Genomic DNA, 16,236 nt, shown 5'->3' with positions numbered 1-16,236 from the left:
AGAGTCCTTCCTCCAATTTCCTATCTGAAGCAAAATGTCAGGGGAAGAATTGGAAGCATGGTGGTGTTGAAGTTTTACTGATGCAGATGTCTGCTTCCTTGGATTCCATGTTCCCCGAGCAGGGGTACTCCTAGCTTACTCAGGGCCTGGCCTCTGCAGGGGCAAACCTAGAAGTCTGACCAGGAAAAGAGAGAGATGATCAGAAATGGCAGAGCACAGAACGACAGAAAGTGAACTAAAGTGATTGTGGGTGGGCTATGACAGTTTTTGTCTCTGAGGAAGAAAGGTGAGGAATGTCACCAATTTGCGATGTCCCAGAAAAAGCAACTCAGCTCTGGCTGGATCTGTGATGACTCCACAACTCTATCCATCACACTTCCCCAGGACTGAGGTTCAGGTTGTAGAGCCCAAGTTCCAAGAAGTAAAGGGCTCTCTCCACTTTTATCCTTCCATCTATCCCTGGAGCTTGGGAACTGGGGTAAGAAGGTGATTTTCCAAGTGGGTCATTTTCTAGATGGCCCCTAGCCATCCTTTGTCCCCAGCATTGACTTTTATTTGGGAGAGCAGATGGTGGGAATATAACTGACAGCCTCTTCATCTAATTGTGTTGCCTTATTCATATCACTGATCCCCAGTTCTCAGTGGGTTTTGGAACTTTCCCCAAATGCAAACCTATTATACTTCAGACTGAGATCATGGTGATCTCCTGACTTTTGAAGAGTTCTAAAATATGACAACAGGTCTTGGAACCTGGAGGAGGCTTTCTTAGTCTTGGTCACTTTGGACATCTCTAATTAAATTACTAGAGGGGAATACATTCCAGAAAACTACAAACCTATGGGCCCAGTGCTTGGGCTAGAATAAGATTAAAACATACACTGAAGCATACTCCTATGAACAAGATACTATTCTAAACATGTAACATGTGTTAACTTATTTAATTCTCATAACAACTCTATGAGGTAGGTCCTATTGTTATCTTATTTTTTAGATGTGGAAATTGACGTGCAGAGAGGTTGAGTAATTTGCTCAAGGTCGTATATAATACCACTACTTTCCAGCAGAGCAGGAGTTCAAACTCTGGTAGTCTGGCACTGGAGTCTCTGTGCTCTTAACCACAAAGCAGTACTGTCTACAGAGGCTATGGGCAGCCTGGGACAGGGCCATTCTTGTCATAACCTTGCAGCTAGACAAGTATCTATTAGTTTGGAGTATGTTGTAGAACTAATTTAATAATAATAATAACATTAGTAAGCATGCATTGAGCATTTAAGTGCCAGTCATAATACTAAGTCTTTTACTTATGTGGTTTCATTTACCCATCAGAAAATCTCTGGAGTTGGGGAGGTGTCCACTTTACAGATGAGGAAACAGAAGTGGGATTAGGTATCTATCCTAAGGCCATAGAGTTTGGAGGTGGAATTGGAATCCAGATGTCTCCGACTCTAAAACTTTGCTGTACTTCCCTGTGACTGTACTCACCTATAGGGGAGACAAATCAGAAGACACAGACAGCACTTCCCTTAAGAAACTTACAATCATTAGCAGGTGAGAGATCAGACACACACAAGGAATAGAAAGTGAGGAACTTCAAGTTACACTATAGGGTTCTAATTCTAAAATACTTAAAAGCTCGGACAAAAAAAGATCACTGAGAGAAGACTTACAGAGGAGGGCTTCCTGTGAGGGAGGGGAGGGGCAGAGCTGTCCCCTGAAGAAATTTAGGAATAATCAAAATGAAGAAAGAGATAAAGAGTAGGTGGAACTGCATAAGCTACTCAGGAACACAAGAATGAGTGTTGTGAACACAGAGGAGAATGAGGAGCTAATTCTGAAAGGCTCTGAGGAGGGACATTAGAATGGCAAGGTGGGGCCAGACTGAGTAACAAATAATAGCAGCCTAGCTTTTACGCAGCACTTACTATGGGCCAAACACTTTGCATGCATAATCTCATTGACTCCTTATTATGACTCAATGCAGTGGGTAAAGCAATTATCCCCATTCTACAGATAAAGAAAGTGAAGCTCAATAATGTCAAGTCACCCAAGGTCCCACAGCTACGAAGTGGCAAAGCTATAAATCAAACCCAGTCGTTATAACTCCAGAACTCACAGTCTTATCCAAAAGGCCTCAAAAGCCAAGCTAAGGAAGCAAAGATCTAGCATAGTGTCATGAACTTGAGAGGTACTTAAATGGATTGAAGGAGAATGAATGAAGTGATAGGCAAATACCTTAGTGCAAATGCTTTTCCAACCTAGGCTCTCAAAAGGACTGTAGCTCCTATTTATTAAATCGTCCCAGGAAGGGACTGGGTGCAGAGGCTCACACCTGTGATCCCAGCATTTTGGAAGGCTGAGGGGGGCTGATCACTTGAGGTCAGCCTGGCCAACATCATGAAACCCCATCTCTACTAAAAGTACACACACACACACACACACACACACAAACACACACACAAAATTAGCCTGGCATCCATGACATGCACCTGTAACCTCAGCTACTTAGGAGGCCGAGACGCAAGACTCGCTTGAACCTGAGAGGCGGAGGTTGCAGTGAGCTGAGATCGTGCCACTGCACTCCAGCCTGGGCAACAGAGTGAGACTCCATCTCAAAAAAAAAACAAAGTGCCAGCAAGTATTTATTAAGTTGCATCTGGTAAATGAAGTTTAGTGCATGGATACCACTTACCCAATGCCAAAAAGTTTGGTGGTGACATGGAGATCCCTACCAGACGGATAGAAGGTGCTTGCCCAAAAGACTGGAGTTGCTCATGACTTGCCCAAGTTTCCTTTGTTTCCAGTGACTAGGATAGAGCCCACCATCTGTTCCTTGGATTCCAAAACAGAGGTTACAGGCACAAATCAGTTTCTGTTGATCCCCATTCTCATCCTTTGTCTTCTCCTGTTTAATTCCCCTAGATACAGCTTATCGAAAGCATCAGCAGAAAACTTTCTGTCTTGCGGGAGGCCCAGCGAGGGCTGCTAGAGGACATCAATGCCAATTCTGCCCTTGGGGAGGAGGTGGAGGCCAACTTAAAAGCCGTCTGCAAATCCAATGAATTTGAAAAGTACCACTTGTTTGTTGGGGACCTGGACAAAGTGGTCAACCTGTTGCTGTCACTCTCTGGACGACTGGCCCGGGTGGAGAATGCTCTGAACAGCATCGATTCAGAGGCCAACCAGGAGAAGGTAGAGTTGGGGTCTGTGGGGTGTGGGTAGAGGGAAATACCATTTGTTTCTTCTCAGGGCTCCCTCTTTCAAGTTGGGCTACTATAGGAAACAGTAGAGCATGGGATTAAAAGCATGTGAGCACTGAGGATGGGCACGGTGGCTCATGTCTGTAATCCCAGTACTTTGGGAGGCCAAAGCGGGCAGATTGCTTCAGTCCAGGAGTTTGAGACCAACCTGGGCAACTTAGTGAATCCCCATCTCTACTAAAAATACAAAAATTAGTCTGGCAGGGTGGCGCATGCCTATAATCCCAGCTACTCCGGAGGCTGAGGTGGAAGGTTTGCTTGAGCTTGGGAGGCGGAGACTGCCGTGAGCAAAGATTGTGCCACTGCACTCCAGCCTGGGTGACAGAGCAAGACCCTGTCTCAAAAAAAATAATAATAATAAAATAAAAAAATAAGAGTGTGAACACTGGCTTTTAAGTGCCCTGAAATTCTTGCCCTACCATTTATTAGCTGTGTGACTGTGGACAACTTACATAACGTCACTCTGCCTCAATCTCTTCACCTGTAAAATGAGGTGAGCATACTACCTGCCTTATGGGATTATTGTGAGAATTAAATTAGTTTATGTTAATTACATAAAACAGGGCCTGGGACAGGGTAAACACTGAATCAATGCTAGCTCCCAGTAGTAGTAGTAGCAGCAGCAGTTTTGCCTCACTCTAGAGTTGGAGGGGGAGGTCTCATCAAGTATTTGAGATTGGAAAGCTGTCAGTTTCACAGGTTGGGTCACTATGCATATACTCCTGAACCAAAATTGCATCACCTTTCCCTATACAGGTGGCTTTGGATATACCTTTGAATCCACAACAAGAGGCACATATCTACATACATATACATACATACACAGACACATACACTCACACATATCCACTCACACAGACACACACATCATACAGAAAGCACCTCCACAGTGACAGTTGTTCACCAGGTGAAAGGGACACAGGCTGGCTTTGTCAGAGCCTTCCTCCACCCCAAGCCCAGTGGTGGTCCCTACATTGAAGACAGCGTTAAAGAGATGGAAAGAGGTAATTTCACATCCCCTATCCAGAATTGTTGTCATGTTTACCCTCCTGCTACAGGAAACAAAGGCTTTTGCATGGAGGTAGACTTCAGGGCAGAAAATCTAGGACTGACTAATTAGCAGAATGTATAGCTGCTTTGTGGCAGCATCTCTGGTGGAGTACTGCTAGGCAGCACTGTTGGACAGATGCCTGGTAATTGAGAGAGCCCTTACTTGGTCCTCTGCTTCCCCAGTTGGTACTGATAGAGAAGAAGCAGCAGCTGACGGGGCAGTTGGCAGATGCCAAGGAGCTGAAGGAGCACGTGGACCGCCGGGAGAAGTTGGTGTTTGGCATGGTCTCCCGCTACCTGCCTCAGGACCAGCTCCAAGATTACCAGCACTTTGTCAAGATGAAATCTGCTCTCATCATTGAACAGCGAGAGCTGGAGGAGAAGATCAAGCTCGGGGAAGAGCAACTCAAATGTCTCAGGGAGAGTCTACTCCTGGGGCCCAGCAATTTCTAATTCTACCAGCACTCTGCCACAGCATCCCTGCCCAGCCATGTGGGAAGTGCTTTCAATCTTCTTTGTTAGCAGTTTCTCAGCAAGTAGATAGCAATTAGCAGTTTGTTCCAGCCCTCTACCCTGGATGTCTCTCACTACCCCTTCCCTAGCAGTGGTCCTAACCAGCTAGGAGACCCTGGGGAAGCCACAAGCTTCTACCCAAGGGAGCTGCAGCAAGGTGTGATCTTAGAACCACACTCTCCTTCCCACAGTTGCCAAGGGCAAGTACTTGCTGCACAGAGAACCAAGGAAGTGCCTTCATTCTGCTTTGTACTAGGACACCAAAGACATCAAGTACTCATCACCCACCCATATCATCAACAGCCTCTAAAGGCTCAGAGGGAATCTGCCTTGCAGCTCTACTCTGCCCCAGGGCTTGTGGCCAGCCATTTCTCACAGAGAGCTGGCTGCCTTGAGGGCATTCACCTGGCACCAGTTTCAGGGCCTCACCCAAGCTTTGCAGGGGAAAGCACAGAGGGAGGAATTACACTGAAAAAAATGCAAGCAAAGGTTGAGTACCCCCAGGTGCCCCTTAGGAAGGAACCAGGTTTAAATAGGCTCTACCCTTACCTTTCCCAGCAGCAAGTTCAGGGGAAGAGGCCTACTCTTAGCCCTGGCTAGTGTGACCCTCTTCCTGTCCTAAGACTTTGGTCCTACCACCTCTTGTTTCATCTTTCCTTTACATTGCTGGGGGTTACCGCAGGTGCCTACCCCAGGGCTTCACCATATGGGCCATTAATAGCTCTACTAAAACTGACTTCTAGATGTAGGTTTCATTATTGGGGGAGGGGGTTCTTATTGTTATATTTTAAATGGCCTTTTGATTTTATTTATTTTTATGTTTTGATTATTTTTTTCTTTTTTAACTAATAAGGCGAGAAGAGGGAAGTTGGAGAGGGAAAAGTTAGCCCAGAAGGAAAGCATTTTCTGCAGATCAGCCTGAATCCACCGTGGCTAGGTAAGCAAGTGCCAAGGCGTTGAATTGTTCCCACCATAGCTACCGATGTCTAGGAAGGAGTTTTCCCCTTGAACTCAGAGCCTCCCTACTGTGGCCTGGCCTTGTGCTTCCCTTAAAGTCTAAGTGACTTGAGTTTAGCATTCCCCAGCAGGGTTTAAGTTTTTCTTACTGATTTCTTTTTGAAACCAAAGAAATCTCCTGAAATGGAGAAAGGTTCAGTCATTTCTCTACCATCTCCAAGCTATGGGATCAGTAGAGGTGAGCTCAGAAGGAACTCCTCTAACCATTGCTTTCTCAGCCTGTGGCCTGGCTCAAGGGAACCAAAACTCAAGGTAGCTGGGAGCTCCAGCCAGAGCCAGCTCCCCAGAGCAATTGAAGACCCAGCCAGGATCTTAGGCATACAAACAACTAAAACTGCTGCTGTTGCCAAGGCCCTGACACCAGTAGCTAGTTTCTATGCTGGAAAAGCAGCCCTCAGGTGGACGATGGCAAGAAGGGGGTTATGGCCAAATGCTGCCCTGTTATCCAGCTTAGCTCCCTGTTCCTCACTAACTGGGGCCAATCCTTGGTATCACACAACCCAGCCAAGGCCTGGCATCTCTTCTAGTTACTGCTGAGTTCCTCAGGGTCCTTGAAGGTCAACTGTAGCAGCAGGGATGTCTCATTCAACCAAAGAATTTGCCAAGGAACTTTTGCTGCTGTTACAAATACTTGTCACTAGCTTCCATTTCCTCTTCATTGTATTTGAAAACAATGGGAGAATCTTGGCCAGCAGGGTGTCCTGGGGTAGGGGGTGGGGTAAGCCTTTCTGTGGAGCTCTGGGTTTGCTCTTAGTACTGCTGCCAGAAACACTGTTAGAATGGCAACCCTGCCATTCTCCCCTCCAGTGGAAGATTCTACTTTATTCAGGAAGGCTGGTGGCTTGCAGGGGCTAGGCTTACACAAGCCAGCCAAGATTGAGAAGGTAGGGGAGTGCTTTCAATGGAGGCCATAGTTGTCATCTTTTCTTCTGAGCAGGCTCTAGGACAAACAATGAGCAAATTGAGATGTCCTGTATTGGGAGGATGAGGCTGATATGTTTCATCATTCTCAGAATTTGTGGGCTAGAGCACCTTTTTGGGAATATGGGCCTAGGGAAAAGAACGGTCACTTACCTGGACACTATGGCCATAGTCTTGAGTTTTTCTAGTCAGCATGTGATTGGTTGTACCTTAAGTTTATGACACCAAAAATACTATTAACTCTGTTATTTTTGTTCTTAATCCCATCTCAAATTAGTTTCTAGAGTTAGAATCAGAACACAAGGATGCTCATTTTCACATGGAGGGAAAGTTGCCAAAGCATTTAAAAAATAACCCCAAAAGTATATCTAGCAGTGAAGCTTGGTAGATAAAGGTGAACTGCTAAACAGACACTGGCGTGCCACACTCCTGCCAGGGCAGTCTCATTGTGTGTGACGGTGCTGCAACACTGCCAGTATTACTTGAGATGCAGTCTCTCTCCCCTGTTCTCAGTTCCTGGGCTCAGCCCTCCTCCAAGGCCTGCCAGTGAGTAGCAGTTTGGAAGGCAGGCCAAGGGAGATCCCCAAAGACAGTTATCAGTCTTAACTTCTGCTGTCTCCCGTCAAATACTTATACAGGCCCCCATGGGTAATAGGCAAGCATGATGGCTGATAGAGAAGTCAGTGCATGAGTTACTATCACATGTCCCCCCAACCCCTCCTGCCACCTCCCAGGGCTCTGGATAATTGAATCTTCCTGAGTCCCACAGCTGGAGACTCAACCAGGATATAGCTGTAAATGCCCAAGTAGAATCTGACAGAATAAGACAGAGACACTGAAAATAAAGCCCTAGAAAGGAAGAAATTGGAAGCAAAGAAAAGGAGAGGTGAAAAGATAAAAAGCCTCCTTCAAGGTTAGGTTCAGGTTCTGTTTTCCATTTAACCTCATGTGCCATAAAGCTGCCCAGGCACACCAGAGCCACATCCTGAACCCGACCCTCCCTGACAGTGCTGCTCTGCCAGTAGCAAGCCCCAGATGGAGGAAGCTGGGCCCATTTCTGGCCACTTCCACCCATTTGGAGCTTTGCCAGAGGAGTCGTCTATGCCAATAATATTTCTGCAACAGCATATTATATTATTTGAAGATTAGTAGATCTTTTTGGGGGGGTGGGGCAGGGGACAGTTTCTATAGATGAAGAACCAGTGTTGGTTGTACAGCTGTTGGGGGTCATCTATCCCATGTGAAGCTATTCTTTTTCCAAATCTTGTTGTTTCTGCATTTGTGTCCTCCACCACTCCCTTCTTGGCTGACATAGATATGCCTGCCAGATTGTCATCAAGGGTCATATTTCAATAAAAGGTGCTAAGGACAAAAAAAAATCTCATGTGTTTTAACTCAGGTGATGGAAGTCTAAAGATTCTGCTGAAAAGTACTGGAAAGGAATTTGGTCACCTATCCATAGTCCTTCACAGATAAACATATGACCAGACCCTTACCCACATCCCTAAACCCTTACCCTGGCCTCTGAGGGATGGTATTGATGCTATACCATTCATCATCCCCAGTTAAATAGCAGGATCTGCCATAGCCTTTTTAGGGGAACAGCTTTTAGACATCTATTTCAAGACCATCCTGAGTAGGGGGTACAGAGTTTAAGCCATTGGTTATTTCTGTTGTTATCACAGTATTGAAGCATGGTATTTTTCTACTCAGAAGGATCTCAGGATCACAGCCCTGCCCTTTAGCTCACTGATATATTTCTTCCTCTCTGGTTACTCAGTGGCAACATCACATCCAGTCTAACCCCATGTTTAGAATGCAGAAAAAGTCAACAATAGGTGTAATCTCAGGTATAGACCTAAGCAGTATACAGAGTCTAGTTCTGGAGTCTAGCCTGATCGAAGGTAAGCCATTCTTTCTAGACTTCTTCCAATCTTGAATTCTGTCTAGTATTTTCATCTTACTTCTAGCTGATAGTCCAATCTCACACCTTCATGCTCAGCTCCCTGGAAAGCAAGGGCCTTGGTGATCTGCTCTCCAAGGCAACCTCAAAGATTAGACTCAAATGTATTCCAGGAAGCAACTCTGACATTGAAAAGCTTTCTTTTTTCGTGATCCATATTCTGTTCACATTCCAACTATCCTCCTTCTACTCAAGATATCCATTGTGGTAGAGTAGAAAGAGTCCAGCTTTGGCATTAGAATGAACTGTGTTCAAATCCTGGTTCTGCCACTTATTCAATGAACCTGGGCTACTAGCTCAACTTCTGAGGTCATTTTCTTATCTGTAAAATGGGAACAGTATTATCTTGCTTGCAGTTATTGTAACTTGAAAATAATAAATAAAAGCCACTAACAATCCAAGAAGTTATTAGGCAGAATCCCAGGCCCACCCCAAACCCAGTGATAGCAGTCTGAATTTTAACTAGATTTCCAGGAGATTCATGAACATATTACAGCATGGGAAGTACTGACTTGTTGAAAACATATTCAGTACATGGTAACCATTATTATAGTCCTGATCTACTCAATTCATTTTTTCCTTATCCCAGGCATATTCTTGCTCTTCTCGTGTTGCTCACAACTACCTGCCTGGATGAATTTAGGAAAGTTGCAGGATACAAGGTTAAAACACAAGATCAAATGAACAATCCGAAAATGTTATTAAGAAAACAGTTCCGGCCGGGCATGGTGGCTCACGCCTGAAATCCCAGCACTTTGGGAGGCCGAGGCAGGTGGATCACGAGGTCAGGAGATCAAGACCATCCTGGCTAACACGGTGAAACCCTATCTCTACTAAAAATACAAAAAATTAGCCAGGTGTGGTGGCACGCACCAGTAGTCCCAGCTACTCGGGAGGCTGAGGCAGGAGAATTGCTTGAACCTGGAAGGCAGAGATTGCAGTGAGCTGAGACCACACCACTGCACTCCATCCTGGGCAACAGAGTGAGACTTTGTCTCAAAAAGAAAGAAAGAAAGAAAGAAAGAAAGAAAGAAAGAAAAGAAAGAAAGAAAGAAAGAAAGAAAACAGTTCCATTTACAATAGCATCAAAAAGAAAAAAGTACTTAGGAATAATTTAACAAAAGAAGTGCGAAACTTTTACACTGAAAACTATAAAACATTGTTGAAAGAGATTAGAGAAGATCAAAATAAATGGAAAGACACTCCATGTTCATGGATTGGAAGACTTAGTATTGTTAAGATGAAATGTGCCCCAAATTGATCTACAGATTCAATCCAGTGCTTATCAGAATTCCAGTGGCTTCCTTGTGTAAGTTTACAAGCTGATTCTAAAATTCATATGGAATTACAAGGGACCTGGAACAGTCAAAACAATCTTTAAAAAGAACAGTTGGAGGGCTCATACATCCCAACTTCAAAACTTACTGCAAAACTACAGTAATCAAGACAGTGTGGTACAGACACAAGGGTAGGTGTATAAATAAATGGAATTAAATTGAGAGTCCAGAAATAAATCCTCATGTATATGGTTAGTTAATTTCAACAAGGGTCCCAAGAGAAATTGAGGAGAGAATAGTTTTTTAACAAATGATGCTGAGACAACTGGGTATCTACATGGGAAAAAATGAAGTTTTCCTTAAATCACATGCAAGAATCAACTCAAAATGGATTATAGAATGTAAGAGTCAAAATTATAAAATTCTTAGAAGAAAACATTGTAATAAGTCTTCCTAATGTTAAGACGATTTGCACAAGTGATACAAGAAATAGAAATAAATTGGAGTAAATCAAAATTAAAAACTTTTGTGCTAAAAATATACCATATAAAAAAGTGAAAAGACAAGCAACATAATATTAGGAGAAAATATTTGCATATCAGATACTTCAAAATATGAAAAGGACTCTTACAACTCAATGATAAAAATAACCAATTAAAAATGGGTTAACAGATTGTAATAGACATTTCTTCAAAGAAAATATGTGTTTTAGTATGCTTGGGTTGCTATAACATACTACCATAGACTGATTGTCTTAAATAACATTTATTTCTCACAGTCCTGGAGACTGGGAAATCTGAGAGCAAGATGCCAGCAGATTCAATGCCTTGTGAGGGCCCACTTTATGGTTTGCAGATGGCTACCTTGTGGCTGTGTCCTCAGCAAAGACAGAAAGGGATCTGGTCTCGGCCAGGCGCGGTGGCTCACGCCTGTAATCCCAGCACTTTGGGAGGCCGTGGCGGGCGGATCAGGAGGTCAGGAGATCGCAACCATCCTGGCTAACACGGTGAAACCCCATCTCTACTAAAAAAAATACAAAAAAATTAGCAGGGCATGGTGGCAGGTGCCTGTAGTCCCAGCTAGTCGGGAGGCTGAGGCAGGAGAATGGCGTGAACCCAGGAGGCGGAGCTTGCAGTGAGCAGAGATTGAGCCACTGCACTCCAGCCTGGGTGACTGAGCGAGATTCTGTCTCAAAAAAAAGAAAGGGATCTGGTCTCTTCCCCTTCTTATAAGGGCATTATAATTTCATTATGAATGCCTACTCTTGTGACTTCATCTAAACCAATTTACCTCTCAAAGGCCCCACCTCCATATGCCATCACATTGGGGATTAGGGCTTCAGCATGTGAGTTTGGAGAGGACACAAACATTCAGCTTATAGCAATATGCAACTGGCTAGCAAGCACAGGGAAAGATGCTCAAGCACTACTATTCATTAGGGAAATGCAAATCAAGACCACAATGAGATACCACTTCATACCCACTAGAATAGCTATATCAAAAAGCCAAACAATAACAAGTGTTGGTGAGGAAATGAAGAAATTGGAACACTCATACATTGCTGATGGGGATGTAAATTGATGCAACCTCATTGAAAAACAGCTTGGCAGTTTCTCCAAATGTTAAACATAGAATTTCCACATGACTTAGCAATTCCATCCCTAGGTATATACCCAAGAGAATTGGAAACAGGTGTTCAAACAAAAGCGTGAACATGAATGTTTAAAGTGGCATTACTCATAATAGCCAAAAAGTGGAAATGACCCAAATGTCCATCCACTGAGGAATGGATAAACAAACTTTGATATATGCATACAGTAGGGTATTATTTAGCCATAAAAATGGATAAAATACTGATACATGTAACATTGATGAACCTTGAAAATATGCTAAGTGAAAGGAGCCAATCACAAAAGACCACATATTGTATGATTTAATTTATATGAAATGTCCCAAACAGGCAAATCTATAAAGGTAGAAAGCAGATTAGTGGTTGTCAAGGCTGGGGGCTCAGGGGCAATAGGCATGGGGTTTCTTTTGGGGATGATGAAAATATTATAAAATTAGATTGTCATCCTGGTTGTCCAACTCTGAATGTACTGGAAACCATTGAAGTATACATTTTAAATGGGTGTGCTAAATGGTATATGAATTATTTCTCAATAAGTGTGTTTTTTTAAAAAAGCTATTGATTATTTCCATCAGTCTCATTCCTCTTGACAAAAATCTGAGTTGATGGTGAGCATGTACTTCATTCCTGACTCCAAAGGGTACAATATTTACAATATTTGAATTTGGGAGTGACTTTACTATTACAACCTTCCCCTTGAAGACCTGGAAGACCCAGCAACATAAGGACAAACAGTAGTCTCAGCCTTGTACTAAGACTTCAGCAAAAATAAGAGAGATGGGAGGGACTACTATTGGGAAGGAGGGGCAATATTTCTAGGCAAATATTGTGGTAGAATGGATAAGAGCTTCGGCTCATTGGGCAAATAAACCAAGTTTTAAATCCTGATTCTACCAATTTACTGTGTCACCTTAATAAGTTACTTGACTCCTCTCAACCTTAATACCTTCATCTACAGAAGGGGGCTAATAAAAGCCCCACCTCAAAGTGTTACTATGTTGATTAAATGAGATAATTCACATGAAGCACTTAAAATAATGTCTGCCATGTAGTAAGTATTTGATAAATGTTAGCTGCTAGATTTATTTTTATTGAGGTGAGATTGAAGTAGAACAATATAAGGAAAAGTAAAGCATCTTCAGCTTTGGAGTCAGACAGCTCTGTTAATGTGACCTTGGAAGTCACTTTATTTATTGAGCCTTAGCAAATAATGAGGATAGTAATCCTTCTCTTACAGAGGCAGTTCCAAGCCTGGACACTGGAACCCACACCACGTAGGTTTTCATACTGGCTCCACCACTTACACATTGTGTAACCTTGAGCATGTTTAACTTCCCTGTACCTGGATGTCCTCTTCTGTCAAATGGTGGAAACAAAAATACATCCTTGTGTTGTGAGGAATTATTGAGTTAATCCATGCAAAGTACTTAGGACAATAAGTACCCAATGAATGTTAACTTTTATTATAAAGCTAAAGTAGGAATCAAATGAGGTCTCTGGTAGAGCTGTTCATATGGTAGGTTCTCCGTAGATGATGGTTCCTTTCCTTACCTACCCTGCTGTGTGCACCAGGTCAAGATTTTTTGGACCTGCAGATAAAATGTTTCAGCCTTAGGAGTTCCCCACTGTAAGTAAAATTTTCTGGCAAGCTCAATACTACCATCTGATGAGAACAATGTAGTCTGTTAGCTGCCTGCAAGATGACTAGTCTATACTCCCAAGAAAACACCCCCTTCAGAACAATAGAGAAGGAACTGTTTTGCATGTGGACCACTTAAGGTCCAATTTGAGGCTGGTTTGGGGAAAACATCCACTCCTCCTCAAACCTATCTTTAGACTTAAAGTCAACTTAAATGTCATTGAGTTTCCCACCCTGGGTTAAGCACTTTCACTTATCTTTGCTTACACTATTTTTCTATCTAAACATACATTTTTAAAGCAGAAATCCTCATTTAATCTTTAAAACAGATCTGTGATTTTGAAACACTATTTAATCAAAATTCAGAATTGTGGTAGCATTTTTGCTGTTTGTAAGTTAAACAAAATAGATTGTAAGTGTGCAATGCCATTCATTCATTCAACTAATGTGCCAATAATTTGTTTTGTGCTTCAGGGATTCAGAAGTGGACAAGATAGACAAAGTCCCCACTCTCGTGGGGCTTTTATCCTAATGAAAGAGATAGATAAGTATAAATATACAATTACATAATACTTTATATACAGAAATATACACACAATCACTTTTTACCCTGGTATGGCAATGCGAAACATTCTTCCTTGATTTCTTCAGCTATGTGCAATAGGCTAAACTCATGAATCTCTTTGCTACTGCAGTAACTAAAATATTTTTTGCATTAATTTTCACCAGAGAATAATGTTTCAGTGAACATGAGAGTGCAGATATCTCTTCGAGATACTGATTTCATTTCCTTTGGGTATTTACCCAGAAGAAGAATCTCTGCATCATATGGTCATCGTATTCTTAATATTTTGAGGAATATACACTATTTTCCAAAATGGGGTACTAATTTACATTCCCACCAACAATGTACCAGGGTTTCCTTTCCTCCATACCCTCATCAACATTTGTTATCCCTTGCCTTTTTGATAAAAGCCTGCTATTTATGACAAAATGGATGAACCCGGAGGGTATTATGCTAAGTGAAACAAACCAGACACAGAAAGAAAAATACTGCGTAATCTCATATGTGGAAGCTAAAAAAGTCAAACACACAGGGGGATGGAGGTGGAAGAAATGAGGATGTTGGTCAAAGCTACAAAGTTGCAGCTACATAAGATGTATAAATCTAGAGATCTCATGTACAGCATAAGTTCTATAGTTAATAATGCTGTATTGAATACTGGAAATTTTCTAAGAGTAGATTTCAGGTGCTCTTACTGCAAAAGAGGGTAATTATGTGAGGAAATGCATATTTAATTTGCATGACTGTAGCAATCATTTCACTATGTAATGGATGTCAAAACATCATTTGTACACCTTAAATATATACAATAAAAGATTTTCACCAAAGATATTTTCTCCATAGGATTTGTGATGAGATTTTTAAAAAATTGTCTAGCAAAAGGATGACAAACTATCACTGAAGAGGTAGGATTTGAAAGTAGTTTAGACAGAAAGGTTGAATTCCACTCTTGATAGAGAAAATCAATTCATGTCACATGGAAATCTTGCCCATTCTGTGCAACATTCAAACATGGCCAAAGACTAAGGGGTTCTGGCAAAAGCTCCTCTCCTCCTGAGCAGTGTAAACATTAACAGACCACATTCTGTTTGTAAACTGCTTAAAAGTTTCTTCAATATGACCCTTCATTCTGGAGTTGCTTACTGCCATTAACAGAGTAAAATAACATGGCTTTGAATTCCCATTTTCCTCCCAGCTACTTATTTTCTATCTGAAAAGGATAATTAATGGAACTCACCTCCCTGGGTGTTGAGTTGATTCTATTTTTTGCAAAGGAAAAAATCTGGGAAAAGGCCATGAGTAAAAAATCTTTCCAGCTTGAAAATGCATTAGATTAAATGTGAATAAGTCAAAGTGCTGAAAAAATAACAACTTGTTCCCTGATTTCTCCTCAGTTTTAAATTTGATAAAGATGAAAAAGCAGACCAAACTCAGCAGATACAATAAATGATAACTTATAATTGAGAGAAAACTCTTATTTGGGCTAAACTTAAACAGCTACTGTTTAGAAGTCTCATAAATGACTATATATTTAAGCACCTTTTACAAATATGGAAGCTTTAGTTTTCTTTTAGAAAAGTGGGCAGTGGTAAGAGTGAGGAGAGGCAGATAGAAAAGAGTAATGAGATTGTGGATAAATTAGATAATATTATGCATTTAGAACATAATTTTGGACACTTTCTCACAGGCTGGTAGATATTTTGTTCTATCAGATAAGCCTGTCATAAAACTCAGACCGTTACTAAAATCTTTTATAAAAAAAAATCCAGTTTTGACAAAAGATAACCCAAACCAAGTCTGTTATTGAAGCAATCTCTGAGTGAGAAAAACCATGTATCTTTGGGAGCTCGCTGGAATGGCACTCAAAACCCTTAGACCTGGACGCAGTTCTGCCCTTCTCACTCTGTGACCTCGTGCTCTTTTATCAGTTTTGTGAAGAGGATATTTTGGTGGCTATTAAACTGAAGAACAAACACCCTGCCTAGCTGCATAACACCATGCTCCAAATTTTGCCTCCAAATTGCACACTGGCCCAGCTCCCTCTAATTGACCTGGCTGCCCAGAGGATGAAGTCCTGATTCTTGCATATAAGGCCCTTCATGTTCTGTCTCCTGTGTGCTTCTCCAGCTATGACCCCTAACACCTTCTCACACTCATCCTTAGCTCTAGCTGGTTCTGCAAATGTGTCATGCAGTCTCATCCCTCTATACACTCAAAAAGGCTGGTCCCTCTACCTGAAAATCCACCACCCCACTCCCTGAGTTCCCTATTTAGCCAATTCCAGCGTGTCCTTTGGTGTCAACTCAGATTTCACATCCTTCAGAAACATCCTGTTGATATACTAATAACAGTGTGTGGTATTCGGATATGATCATTGTTTACACTTTCTGTCTCTCCCTTTAGG

The 16,236-nt window shown here is 42.1% G+C and overlaps 1 protein-coding gene across 15 annotated transcripts in view; it reads left to right on the top strand.

The window, feature by feature from the left end:
* The window catches only part of SHROOM4 (shroom family member 4), a 238,661-nt gene that overhangs the window by 212,740 nt on the left and 9,685 nt on the right, over positions 1-16,236 (top strand). For 5 of the 15 annotated variants that reach the window (NR_172068.1, NR_027121.3, XR_001755716.3 and 2 more), the window contains 3 exons: positions 2,920-3,189; positions 4,491-5,757; positions 9,311-14,659. Coding sequence is in view for 6 of the 15 variants with exons in the window: in XM_047442279.1 (XP_047298235.1) it covers positions 2,920-3,189; positions 4,491-4,760 (540 nt within the window). In the remaining 9 variants the exon portion in view is untranslated. Of the gene's footprint in view, positions 1-2,917; positions 3,190-4,490; positions 14,660-16,236 lie in introns of those variants that run through there. The other 10 variants (XM_047442279.1, XM_017029683.2, NM_020717.5 and 7 more) reach the window with 4 other exon arrangements.

Source organism: Homo sapiens, chromosome X (assembly GCF_000001405.40).
Source record: "Homo sapiens chromosome X, GRCh38.p14 Primary Assembly".
Lineage (NCBI taxonomy): Eukaryota > Metazoa > Chordata > Mammalia > Primates > Hominidae > Homo > Homo sapiens.
This window is presented reverse-complemented; position numbering and strand designations above follow the sequence as displayed.